The sequence below is a fragment of the Homo sapiens genome, chromosome 17, assembly GCF_000001405.40.
Source record: "Homo sapiens chromosome 17, GRCh38.p14 Primary Assembly".
NCBI classification, from domain to species: domain Eukaryota; kingdom Metazoa; phylum Chordata; class Mammalia; order Primates; family Hominidae; genus Homo; species Homo sapiens.
In genome coordinates, this window is record NC_000017.11 from 34,028,308 (window position 1) to 34,041,788 (window position 13,481).

The window sequence follows — 13,481 nt, forward strand, 5'->3', positions numbered from 1 at the left end:
TGCTGCAAATTAAAGAGAATCTCCTTTCTTTGCAATTCCTAACATGTGCTTCTTGGAGAGGCTGTGCTTTTAGACAAACACTTTGAGAACCTATATTGTCCTAGGAACTATATTAGTTGCTATGGTTGACACAAACCTGAGCTCCACACTCAAATGAGTGTGTAGTCTGGTTGGTGTAGGAAGGCATTATGCTCGAGTCAACCTTGCTTCATACACATTCACTTCCAGCTATGAATTTACTCTTTTAATAATGCATGGATGCTATCTCATTTACATACTCCGCTAGGATCATTATTTCACCAGCAGCCATTCACCACAGTTTCACAAGAGGACATATCTGGAGTCATAAAATATTGGAAGAAATTTCGGAGCAGATAAGAACTGACTCCCACAGGTGTTCCTGGAGATGAGCACAGATCCTCAGAGAATACATGAAATCCTCTCCTCACAGAGAAGCGATTTCCTGCTCCTCTCACTGTTGCTGCCCTGGCCTCATCAAATGCAGACAGCAAGTCCTCTTCTTGGATTGAATCTTTCTGGTTCCATCTCCTACCAGTCCCCCCATCTCTCATTCAGCTCTGGCTGCCCAGCTCTCATGGCTGTTCCTTGAACATATCTGGGTCTCTCTTACCCCAGGGACTTTGCATAGGCTTTTCTCATTGCCTGGAATACTCTTCTTTAGATAGCCTTGTAGCTCCATCAACTTCTCAAAGACTTGAAGTCTTTGACTTCGTTCAAACGAAGTCTTCCTTGATCATCCCCCTCCTACCTCCCCCACAACACCAATTAGTTACAATTTAAACTATTCCTCGCTATGTGGCATTCTCAATCCATTCCTTTACTTTATTTGTTTTCATACAACTCTTCCCCATCTTATAAATTATATATTCTACTTGTCTATCTTTCTTGTCTACATTCTAGGAAGTAGATAGGCTCTGTGAAGATAAGGATTTTTGTCTGTTTTCTCTATTACTGTCATCCAGTGTCAAGAAATGTGCCTGGCACAAAGTAGACATTCAATAAATGAATGAATGAATGCCCTGAGGAATGTCTCACAGTGCTAAAACCAAAAAAAAAAAAAAAAAAATAGTAAAATTTAAAAAAAGACTCTCACTACCTTCTAAGTGGGTACAGCCCTTCATAGTTTCTGAAACATATTTGCATGAATAATCTCACTTAATCTCCTTGTATTGGACTGAATTCTACTCTCCCAAAATTCATATGTTGAAGCCCTAACCCCCAATATGACTGTAGTATTTGGAGATAGGATCTTTGGAAGACAATTGAGGTTAAATGAGGTCATACCAGTAAGGCTCCAATCTGATAAGACTGTAGCCTTTTAAGAAGAGAAAAAGAAAGATGTATTTTTCTCTCTGTCTGCACTGTGAGGACACAGTGAGAAAGCAGCTATCTGCAAGTCAGGAAGAGAGCCTTCACCAGAAAATTGAATCTGCTGGCACCTTGATTTTGGACTTACAGCCTCTAGAACTGTGAGAAATAAGTTTTTGTTGTTTAAGCCACCTGTCTATGGTATTTTGTGATGGCAGCCTGAGCAGACTGAGACACCCCACAAAATAGACCCTGCCTGGCAGATTTGATCACCCCATTTTCAAGACACAACAGCAAAGGCCCAGAGGAATTGAATTCACATAAGTAGTAATAAGTCTGCCCTGATTCCACTGAACCAGGCTAACACAGAGCATGGTCAACCTCCAAAGCCTGAATCCCACACAATTGGCTCTTCCCTTCACAACTACCCCCTACTACTAGTGTCCATTTGCAAAGGGCCTACAAGAAAATACAGCATTTTTCAAACACATCCTTCAAGGAGTGAAAGTTATGAGGGTTTCTAGTGAATGTGTTGCATATAAGCCCAAGAAAGAGTGCACACTTTAATTGAAGAGCAAAGATTTCATGCACTTCTGCCCTGCTCCTCACAGTCTATACCCTTCCAGCACCACTTTCAGTTTTCTAGAAATCCACCCATACTTTCATTGATCCATAATCCATCCATTCGAAATTTTTGAGGGCCTACTATCTGAATTAACACCATCCGAATGTTTGAGGAGAAGCCAAGATGGCTGAATAGGAACAGCTCCGGTCTACAGCTCCCAGCTTGAGCAACGCAGAAGATGGGTGATTTCTGCATTTCCAACTGAGGTACCAGGTTCATCTCACTGGGGAGTGCCAGAGAGTAGGTGCAGGACAGTAGGTGCAGTGCACCGTGCGCGAGCTGAAGTAGGGCGAGGCATCGCCTCACCTGGGAAGCTCAAGGGGTCAGGGAATTTCCTTTCCTACTCAAAGAAAGGGGTGATAGACAGCACCTGGAAAATCGGGTCACTCCCACCCTAATACTGCGCTTTTCCAATGGGCTTAAACAACGGCACACCAGGAGATTATATCAAGCACCTGGCTTGGAGGGTCCTATGCCCACGGAGTCTTGCTCATTGCTAGCACAGCAGTCCGAGATCAAACTGCAAGGCAGCAGAGAGGCTGGGGGAGGGGCACCCGCAATTGCCCAGTTAGTTGTTTGATTAGGTAAACAAAGAGGCCAGGAAGCTCGAACTGGGTGGAGCCCACCACAGCTCAAGGAGGCCTGCCTGCCTCTGTAGGCTCCACCTCTGGGTGCAGGGCACAGACAAACAAAAAGACAGCAATAACCTCTGCAGAATTAAATGTCCCTCTCTGACAGCTTTGAAGAGAGTAGTGGTTCTCCCAGCACACAGCTGGAGATCTGAGATCGGGCAGACTGCCTCCTCAAGTGGGTCCCTGACCCCTGAGCAGCCTAACTGGGAGGCACCCCCCAGTAGGGGCAGACTGACAATTCACATGGCCGGGTACTCCTCTGAGACAAAACTTCCAGAGGAACGATCAGGCAGCAGCATTTGCGGTTCACCAATATCTGCTGTTCTTCAGCCACCGCTGTGGATACCCAGGCAAACAGGGTCTGGAGTGGACCTCTAGCAAACTCCAACAGACCTGCAGCTGAGGGTCCTATCTGTTAGAAGGAAAACTAACAAACAGGAAGGACATCCACACCAAAAACCCATCTGTACCTCACCATCATCAAAGACCAAAGGTAGATAAAACCACAAAGATGGGAAAAAAACGGAGGAGAAAAACTGGAAACTGTAAAAATCAGAGCGCCTCTCCTCCTCCAAAGGAATGCAGCTCCTCACCAGCAATGGAACAAAGCTGCATGGACAATGACTTTGACGAGTTGAGAGAAGAAGGCTTCAGATGATCAAACTACTCCAAGCTACAGGAGGAAATTCGAACCAATGGCAAAGAAGTTAAAAGCTTTGAAAAAAAATTAGACAAATGGATAACTAGAATAACCAATGGAGAAAAGTCCTTAAGGGACCTAATGGAGCTGAAAACCAAGGCACGAGAGCTACGTGACGAATGCAGAAGCCTCAGTAGCCAATGCGATCAACTGGAAGAAAGGGTATCAGTGATGGAAGATGAAATGAATGAAATGAAGCGAGAAGAGAAGTTTAGAGAAAAAAGAATAAAAAGAAACAAACAAAGCCTCCAAGACTTATGGCAGTATGTGGAAAGACCAAATCTACGTCTGATTGATTTACCTGAAAGTGACGGGGAGAATGGAACCAAGTTGGAAAACACTCTGCAGGATATTATCCAGGAGAACTTCCCCAATCTAGCAAGGCAGACCAACATTCAAATTCAGGAAATACAGAGAATGCCACAAAGATACTCCTCGAGAAGAGCAACTCCAAGACACATAATTGTCAGATGAACCAAAGTTGGAATGAAGGAAAAAATGATCAGGGTAGCCAGAGAGAAAGGTCAGGTTACCCACAAAGGGAAACCCATCAGACTAACAGCTGATCTCTTGGCAGAAACTCTACAAGCCAGAAGAGAGTGGGGGCCAATATTCAACATTCTTAAAGAAAAGAATTTTCAACCCAGAATTTCATATCCAGCCAAACTAAGCTTCATAAGTGAAGGAGAAATAAAATACTTTACAGACAAGCAAATGCTGAGAGATTTTGTCACCACCAGGCCTGCCCTACAAGAGCTCCTGAAGGAAGCACTAAACATGGAAAGGAACAACCAGTACCAGCTGCTGCAAAAACATGCCAAATTGTAAAAACCATCAAGGCTAGGAAGAAACTGCATCAACTAATGAGCAAAATAACCAGCTAACATCATTATGACAAGATCAAATTCACACATAACAATATTAACTTTAAATGTAAATGGGCTAAATTCTCCAATTAAAAGACACAGACTGGCAAATTGGATAAAGAGTCAAGACCCATCAGTGTGCTGTATTCAGGAAACCCATCTCACATGCAGAGACACACATAGGCTCAAAATAAAGGGATGGAGGAAGATCTACCAAGCAAATGGAAAACAAAAAAAGGCAGGGATTGCAATCCTAGTCACTGATAAAACAGACTTTAAACCAACAAAGATCAAAAGAGACAAAGAAGGCCATTACATAAAGGGAAAGGGATCAATGCAACAAGAAGAGCTAACTATCCTAAATATATATGCGCCCAGTACAGGAGTACCCAGATTCATAAAGTAAGTCCTTAATGACCTACAAAAAGACTTAAGACTCCCACACAATAATAATGGGAGACTTTAACACCCCACTGTCAACATTAGACAGATAAACAAGACAGAAAGTTAACAAGGATATCCAGGAATTGAACTCAGCTCTGCACCAAGCGGACCTTGTAGACATCTACAGAACTCTCCACCCCAAATCAACAGAATATACATTCTTTTCAGTACCACACCACACCTATTCCAAAATTGACCACATAGATGGAAGTAAAGCACTCCTCAGCAAATGTAAAAGAACAGAAATTATAACAAACTGTCTCTCAGACCACAGTGCAAGCAAACTAGAACTCAGGATTAAGAAACTCACTCAAAACCACTCAACTACATGGAAACTGAACAACCTTCTCCTGAATGACTACTTGGTGCACATCAAAATGAAGGCAGAAATAAAGATGTTCTTTGAAACCAACGAGAACAAAAACACAACATACCAGAATCTCTGGGACACATTCAAAGCAGTGTGTAGAGGGAAATTTATAGCACTAAATGCCCACAAGAGAAAGCAGGAAAGATATAAAATTGACATCCTAACACCACAATTAAAAGAATTAGAAAAGCAAGAGCAAACACATTCAAAAGCTAGCAGAAGGCAAAAAATAACTAAGATCAGAGCAGAACTGAAGGAAATAGAGACACAAAAAACCCTTCAAAAAATTAATGAATCCGGGAGTTGCTTTTTGAAAAGATCAACGAAATTGATAGACCGTTAGCAAGACTAATAAAGAAGAAAAGAGAGAAGAATCAAATAGACGCAATAAAAAATGATGAAGGGGCTATCATCACCGATCCCACAGAAATACAAACTACCATCAGAGAATACTACAAACACCTCTACACAAATAAACTAGAAAATCTAGAAGAAATGGATAAATTTCTTGACACATACATCCTCCCAAGACTAAACCAGGAAGTTGAATCTCTGAATAGACCAATCACAGGCTCTCAAATTGAGGCAATAATCAATAGCTTACCAACCAAAAAAAGTCCAGGACCAGATGGATTCACAGCCGAATTCTACCAGAGGTACAAAGAGGAGCTGATATCACTCCTTCTGAAATTATTCCAATCAATAGTAAAAGAGGGAATCCTCCCTAACTCATTTTATGAGGCCAGCATCATCCTGATACCAAAGCCTGGCAGAGACACAACCAAAAAAGAGAATTTTAGACCAATATCCTTGATAAACATCAATACAAAAATTCTCAATAAAATACTGGCAAACCGAATCCAGCAGCACATCAAAAAGCTTATCCACCATGATCAAGTGGGCTTCATCCCTGGAATGCAAGGCTGGTTCAACATATGCAAATCAATAAATGTAATCCAGCATATAAACAGAACCAAAGACAAAAACCACATGATTATCTCAATAGATGCAGAAAAAGCCTTTGACAAAATTCAACAACCCTTCATGCTAAAAACTCTCAATAAATTAGGTATTGATAGGACGTATCTCAAAATAATAAGAGCTATCTATGACAAACCCACAACCAATATCATACTGAATGGGCAAAAACTCGAAGCATTCCCTTTGAAAACAGGCACAAGACAGGGATGCCCTCTCTCACCATTCCTATTCAACATAGTCTTGGAAATTCTGGCCAGGGCAATCAGGCAGGAGAAGGAAATAAAGGGTATTCAATTAGGAAAAGAGGAAGTCAAATTGTCCCTGTTTGCAGATGACATGATTGTATATCTAGAAAACCCCATCGTCTCAGCCCAAAATCTCCTCAGGCTGATAAGCAACTTCAGCAAAGTCTCAGGATACAAAATCAATGTACAAAAGTCACAAGCATTCTTATACACCAATAACAGACAAACAGAGAGCCAAATCATGAGTGAACTCCCATTCACAATTGCTTCAAAGAGAATAAAATACCTAGGAATCCAACTTATAAGGGATGTGAAGGACCTCTTCAAGGAGAACTACAAACCACTGCTCAATGAAATAAAAGAGGACACAAACAAATGGAAGAACATTCCATGCTTATGGATAGGAAGAATCAATATCATGAAAATGGCCATACTGCCCAAGGTAATTTATAGATTCAATGCCATCCCCATCAAGCTACCAATGACTTTCTTCACAGAATTGGAAAAAACTACTTTAAAGTTCATATGGAACCAAAAAAGAGCCTGCATCGCCAAGTCAATCCTAAGCCAAAAGAAAGCTGGAGGCATCACGCTACCTGACTTCAAACTATACTACAAGTCTACAGTAACCAAAACAGCATGGTACTGGTACCAAAACAGAGATATAGATCAATGGAACAGAACAGAGCCCTCAGAAATAATGCTGCATATCTACAACTATCTCATCTTTGACAAACCTGACAGAAACAAGCAATGGGGAAAGGATTCCCTATTTAATAAATGGTGCTGGGAAAACTGGCTAGCCATATGTGGAAAACTGGCTAGCCACATGTAGAAAGCTGAAACTGGATTCCTTCCTTACACCTTATACAAAAATCAATTCAAGATGGATTAAAGACTTAAACGTTAGACCTAAAACCATAAAAACCCTAGAAGAAAACCTCAGCATTACTATTCAGGACATAGGCATGGGCAAGGACTTCATGTCTAAAACACCAAAAGCAATGGCAACAAAAGCCAAAATTGACAAATGGGATCTAATTAAACTAAAGAGCTTCTGCACATCAAAAGAAACTACCATCGGAGTGAACAGGCAACCTACAGAACAGGAAAAAATTTTTGCAACCTACTCATCTGACAAAGGGCTAATATCTAGAATCTACAATGAACTCAAACAAATTTACAAGAAAAAAACAAACAACCCCATCAAAAAGTGGGCAAAGGATATGAACAGACACTTCTCAAAAGAAGACATTTATGCAGCCAAAACACACGTGAAAAAATGCTCACCATCACTGGCCATCAGAGAAATGCAAATCAAAACCACAATGAGATACCATCTCACACCAGTTAGAATGGCAATCATTAAAAAGTCAGGAAACAACAGGTGCTGGAGAGGATGTGGAGAAATAGGAACACTTTTACACTGTTGGTGGGACTGTAAACTAGTTCAACCATTGTGGAAGTCAGTGTCACGATTCCTCAGAGATCTTGAACTAGAAATACCATTTGACCCAGCCATCCCATAATCCAAAGGATTATAAATCATGCTGCCATAAAGACACATGCACACATATGTTTATATCGTCAATATTCACAATAGCAAAGACTTGGAACCAACCTAAATGTCCAACAACGATAGACTGGATTAAGAAAATGTGGAACATACACACCATGGAATACTATGCAGCCATAAAAAATGATGAGTTCATGTCCTTTGTAGGGACATCAATGAAACTGGAAACCATCATTCTCAGCAAGCTATCGCAAGGACAAAAAACCAAACATCGCATGTTCTCACTCATAGATGGGAATTGAACAATGAGAACACATGGACACAGGAAGGAGAACATCACACTCTGGGGACTGTTGTGGGGTGGGGGGAGGGGGGAGGGATAGCATTAGGAGATATACCTAATGTTAAATGACGAGTTAATGGGTGCAGCACACCAACATGGCACATGTATACATATGTAACAAACCTGCACGTTGTGCACACGTACCCTAAAACTTAAAGTATAATAATAATAAAATAAAATAAAATAAAAAATAAAAATATAAAAAAAGCACCATCCATGCAAATTTTATTCCATCACAGAGATTAATGAAAAGAAATGGTCCTACTAGCATTTTATCAAGGGCTACTTGTGGACTGTATACTATATTGATACTTTGAATTTGTTTTTTTTTTTTTTTTTTTTTTTTGCATGGACAGATGAACCTTTATTTAAAAAAATAGCACTTCAAATAAATTAAAAGGGACAACCGTCAAGTGTTCAAATTGTGAAGAAATAGTTGAAAACCTAGAGGGACTCCAAGCTGCAGTCTTCTAACCTCATTCTTTGTCCAATGGCAAAAACCCACACATCTCAGTATTCCCACTCAATTTTTTCCCTACTGAGATGAGGGAAGCAATTGCAAACAGGAGACCAGACGAAGGAGAAAGCTGCATCTGATTGGAATGAACATTGCCACGTACTTGCTAATACGGGTTTCACTTTATGACCAAATGTATTCTTTCAAAAATAAAAAAGAGGAGAGGGAAGCTGCATGTTTTTAAAAATTGAAATTATTTAGGGAAAAAACACTAACTCTAGTGCCTTTAACGGGCAATAGCAACTTTTTTCCTCCGAAGTCAAACACCATCCCCAGCTGAGCCTTTGTGCTACAAGCTTTTCAGGAGATGTTACCTAAACTTTATTAAAAGAAAAGAACAAGTTTAAATACAGACACTGGACTAGCCCAGTCTGTATTTTCAAGTCCACATTCTTCATCTGAATCAGGGACCCCCCTGAGTCTGCATGTTTTCAAGTTCACAGTACATGGAACCAGTTTTTCCTTTTAATTTTTTCCTCACTCAGAGCAGCCACACACAGTGGCCGTTGACGCTGGAACCTCGGGCGGGGCCTTTTCCTACAAGGCCTGGCCGGAGCTGCCCAAGGTTTCTCCTCAATGAGAATCGATGCTGTCATGCTCTATGGATGGGAAAAAAGCAAGAAAATAGAAGCACCTGGTACAGGTTTCATCAGATCCATTCGGATTCGCTATGTTCCAAACCCGCTGCTGAACGCCATTTGTCCACTTTGTGTGTGTTGAACAGTTTGTGGCCTTGGAGTCAGTCTCAATTAGAAGAACTGTTATTGGACGCCCCAGAGGTTGATGCAATAGCAGCTCCAGCAGGGCTACTCGTAGAGACTGACTTTTGGATGTGAGGCAACAAGTAGGGATCACAGGCCAGCTGCTGGACATCAATGCGGTCCTCCTTTCGGTAGGCCAAGCATCGTCGAATCAACGCCTTTGCTTCAGGTGTTACTACCGGCTTTGGCGGGAACTGCACTTCAGTAGCTTTAAGAATCGTATTCTCTTGTAGGATGTCTTGCTGAGACTGGTTATGGCCAAAAGGCTTCCTTCCATAAAGACACTGATAGAAGATCACACCCACCGACCACACATCAACTTTATTTGAGATCTTTGGTGGTTCTTTCCCAACCACAAAACACTCTGGTGGTAAATACCAATAAGTACCAGCACCTTGTGATGTTAGCTCCATGCCATCCACTGAATTGTAGCTATCATCATCCATGATCTTCGAAAGACCAAAATCTGTAATTTTTATCTCTCCACACCCTGTACCATTTTCTAAAAGAATATTACCTGGTTTGAGGTCATAGTGTATGATGGGAGGTTTTATTTCATTTAAGTACTTTAAAGCATTCACAATCTGCATGATAATGGACCGGGCCTCTTTCTCTGACATTAATTTGTGCTGTTTCAGGTAGAAGTCCAGATCATTTCCCTCACAGTATTCTAATACTGTACAAAACGAGTCAGTATCCAGTGAAAAGTAATCATACAGCTTAACTATTCTGGGATGGTCCAGCTCTTTATGAATCCGGTATTCCCTACATGCATGCTTGTGGTAATTCTCCTTTTTCTCATCTCTCCAGTTTTTATTTAACTGGTGAATTTTCACAGCTACGTATCTTTGCTCTGTTAGATCAAATGCCTTGTAAACTTCACTGAAACCTCCTCTACCCAAAAGATGTAACAACAAATATCTGTCATTTAGCGTTGGATGATATTTAAATTGTGAATTATCTTCATTATGTATCCTTTTTACTTCCCTGATATGTAGTTTTCTAACCCTTTCTAGCCTCTCCAGCTCTGCCTGGATCTCTGCTTCCTCCTTTTTAAGATGACCTAATCTGAGTTTGAAGATTTCTTCTTGTTCATGGTATTCTTTTAACGTTAACGTTTCATTTTCAGCTCCATTGGTCTTGCTTTTCCACTGTTTCTGCTCATTGGTTGCAGGAGGGGCCTGACCCATGGCAGGAGGTTTCCGCTTTGCTAACATTTTCCGTTGTCTTTCTATCTCTTCCCTCTGTGAATTTATCCTTTCCTGTTGCTTGATAAGATTCTGAAAAGCATAACCATCTGTCCACTGCTCAGTAAATTTGGCTCCGTGTCGGACGTAGTAAAGTAGCCCAGTCTCAAGCGGTCTTGCATGCTCTTATCTCTACACGCCATCTTCTCTTGTTTTGACTTTTCTATAAGGAGTTTCTTGCTCATTGTCACACATCTATTTAATCGTTCCTTGTATTTCTCTAGCATCTTTTGCTGTTCATCAATCTGCCGTCTCAAATCACAGATGGCTCTTAATAAATCATCTATTCTTCCCTCCTTCTTCTCTAAGTCAGAATTCTTACTGTTTTCTAGTGCAGATATTTTTTCTATTGTGAGGTCGGACTGGGTCTGTCTGTGCTGGATGGAGATCTGTTTTTGGGAGCTGCAGGAATGCTCTGTGTTGCCAGATCCCGTAGATGAGGGACTGTTTTGCTGAGCTGAAACAAAAGTGAAGCAGAGGCCAGCTCCCCTTTGCGCCAGCTGCTCTGTGTCAAGCCGAGGTTTTGCTAGCATCACTGACATGAGGGTTGGCAGAGCAGACTGCTCCTCCGTTGCCTCCTTTGCAGCACTGCCATCTAAACCATAGAGGGGCTGTTCTACTCGTCGCGGTAAGGGATTGGATAAGGAATGTTGCAGTGAGGATCGTGCAACTGGTGGAACACTTCTGCCAGGGCTGGTTCCCGGCCCGCTTCCCCCAGCAAACTCAAAGTAATCACTAATTTTATGTCCCCTAGGAGTGCCTTTCCCTTGGCTACTTTCATATGGTTCAGCTTTTCTTTTCCGATTTCGCTGGTCATTCTGCTTTTTCTTGGGAGTCTCTACTTCTTTATCACTCAAGGATCCGACGCTGCACAAGCTCTGGTTGGAAGACTCACTATTAAGTGGTCCCTTACTAACACCTACTCCAGTAAACCTGGCCTCCAATAATTTCTGCCGTCGTGGGTCCAGGCTATGCAATTCTTCCATCATTTCTACTGCCGCCGCCGCCGCTGCCGCTCCACGCTCCTCCCTGGAGGGACCCCGACCCGACCCGGCTGCGGACCGCTCCGCTCTCCCCCTGGGCAGGCCCGGGGCGGAGCCGGGGCCTCTCCTGAGCGCCGCAACCCCCCGCCCGGGCAGCCACCGCCGGCGCCGGGCTCCACGAGAGGGCGGGCGGGGGAGGGGGGGCACGAAGGCCGCAGATCCCCGGGCTCGCGTACAGAGCCAGGCGCCCGACGCGGCCCCGGGCCCGGGCGGCCACGGGACCGGCCTCCTGGCGCCGGACAAAGGCCAAGGGAGGCGCAGGAGGGCCCAGGCCAGGTCAGGAGGTGGGGGCCCGCTCGGCTGGGGGCCACTCGGGTGCGGCGCGGAGGGCGGGGGTGTCGGAACCGCTGGTGCCCAGGACCTGCCTCCGGCCCCTTAATCCGGATCGGTTCGGTCCGGATTAGTAGTGATCGGTGTAAACACACTAGTGAAACCGCGTGTTTCCTCGCGAGATTTGCACGGCTGGGAGGCAGGGGGGGTCCTGGGGGGTGGGGGAAGCGCCGACAGTGGGGGAGGAGGGGGAGGGGACGAGGAAGGTGGGGGGGGTCCCCGCTGCCCCCTGAATTTGTTTATTCACTTAATCATCCTGCCAATTTTATATGGGAACCATCTACCTATTACAGAGGCAGAAAGTAAGGGTTAGACAGGGTAGGGTGACTTGCACAAGCTAACAGTGCTGCCAGGTGAGAGAGTCATCATTGTTGGGCTTCACAGCCTGAGTCCTCTTCATTGCATGGTGCTGCAGGTGACAGCCATGGGCCTGGAACTGCTTCAAGGGTAGTTTCCAGTGTCCTCACCTCTCCCCTTCCCCAGCCTCACCTCTCACATTTCCAGAATTAGCCAGTTCCTATTATTACTGAAGCAATAGTTAAGTTTGAGGGAAAAACACCAAATATAACTACAGTAACAAAATATAATAAGAGTTAACATCATTAACTAGTCATCATGCAATTGCCACAACTATCCTAGGAGGAAGCTATTACCGTTTTGATCATTTTACAAATGATGGAACAGAGTATCAGGGAGATTAAGTAATTTGCACAGGGACACACAACCACTCCAAGAAAAGATGGAGATCCAAATGTTGCTCTTTTCAAGAGGCAGCTCAGCTTAATGGGGAAGTGGGAAAGCATATATCTCAACAAGGAGAAATACCAAATGGGTCTACCATATGCAAAGCACAGTGCTATGCTCTGGAGGGGGATGCAAAAATGAGTAAAGGAGCATATGGTTCTCTGCTGAGAAAGAGAAGGCTCTCACAACACAAGAGTTGAACTTGGGCAAAAGACAGTAGGGTTCCACATTACCGATGTGACTACTGGAAATTCTTTCCCAACTATCCTGGGTCGGAGGCAGAAGAAGAGACTGGTTGGAGAGCCCAGGAGAGCCTCTGAACATTAAGCCAACAGTCTTGAATCATGACAAGAGCCTCTCCACAGAGTCCTCAAATGCACTTCTATTCAATCACTCAGATTTTTCTTCTTTGAGCATCTAAGAGGCAATATGATCAAAGGGAGACAAGGTCGTGAAATAGAAAGAATGATAACTTTGACATCAAACTTGTTATAAACTCCACCTCCCCTTATTATAAGCTCCGAGACCTTGGGAAATTGCATATTTCCCTGAGGCTCACTTCCCTAGCTGTCACTTGTGGATATTAACTCCTCATATGGTGTCAGAGAAGTAAATACTATAACAAATGTAGAAATACATAGCACACACTAACCCTCAAACCAAGTTAGTTCTTCCCCCCTCTCAGTGGGGCTAACACTTGGTGTGAGGTGCTGGCAAAGAAACAAAGACTTTTAATGCTTGTTATCGCTTTCTAGAAGCTTAGAATTTAGTTGGGATTCAGGAGACAG

General features: G+C 43.1%; 1 protein-coding gene, 1 long non-coding RNA gene and 1 pseudogene across 2 annotated transcripts in view, besides 3 other annotated features; all 3 read right to left on the bottom strand.

Moving 5' to 3' along the window:
* Positions 1 to 13,481, bottom strand: part of ASIC2 (acid sensing ion channel subunit 2) — a 1,143,682-nt gene that overhangs the window by 1,015,221 nt on the left and 114,980 nt on the right. The gene's annotated exons all lie outside the window — the stretch shown is intronic.
* LOC107987247 (uncharacterized) overlaps positions 1 to 13,481 on the bottom strand; it is a 51,173-nt gene that overhangs the window by 8,583 nt on the left and 29,109 nt on the right. The window lies entirely within an intron of this gene.
* Positions 2,104 to 2,604: an enhancer, noted in NCBI's record as "NANOG-H3K4me1 hESC enhancer chr17:32357430-32357930 (GRCh37/hg19 assembly coordinates)". NCBI's record gives its function as "activates a minimal SCP1, AML or CMV promoter by ChIP-STARR-seq in primed H9 embryonic stem cells {active_cell/tissue: H9 hESC(primed)}" and the evidence as "EXISTENCE:reporter gene assay evidence [ECO:0000049][PMID:30033119]".
* Positions 2,605 to 3,105: an enhancer, noted in NCBI's record as "NANOG-H3K4me1 hESC enhancer chr17:32357931-32358431 (GRCh37/hg19 assembly coordinates)". NCBI's record gives its function as "activates a minimal SCP1, AML or CMV promoter by ChIP-STARR-seq in primed H9 embryonic stem cells {active_cell/tissue: H9 hESC(primed)}" and the evidence as "EXISTENCE:reporter gene assay evidence [ECO:0000049][PMID:30033119]".
* On the bottom strand, positions 8,397 to 11,743 carry TLK2P1 (tousled like kinase 2 pseudogene 1; annotated as a pseudogene).
* Positions 10,559 to 10,759: a silencer, noted in NCBI's record as "peak2807 fragment used in MPRA reporter construct". NCBI's record gives its function as "represses an SCP1 promoter by STARR-seq MPRAs in K562 erythroleukemia cells {active_cell/tissue: K562}" and the evidence as "EXISTENCE:reporter gene assay evidence [ECO:0000049][PMID:32103011]".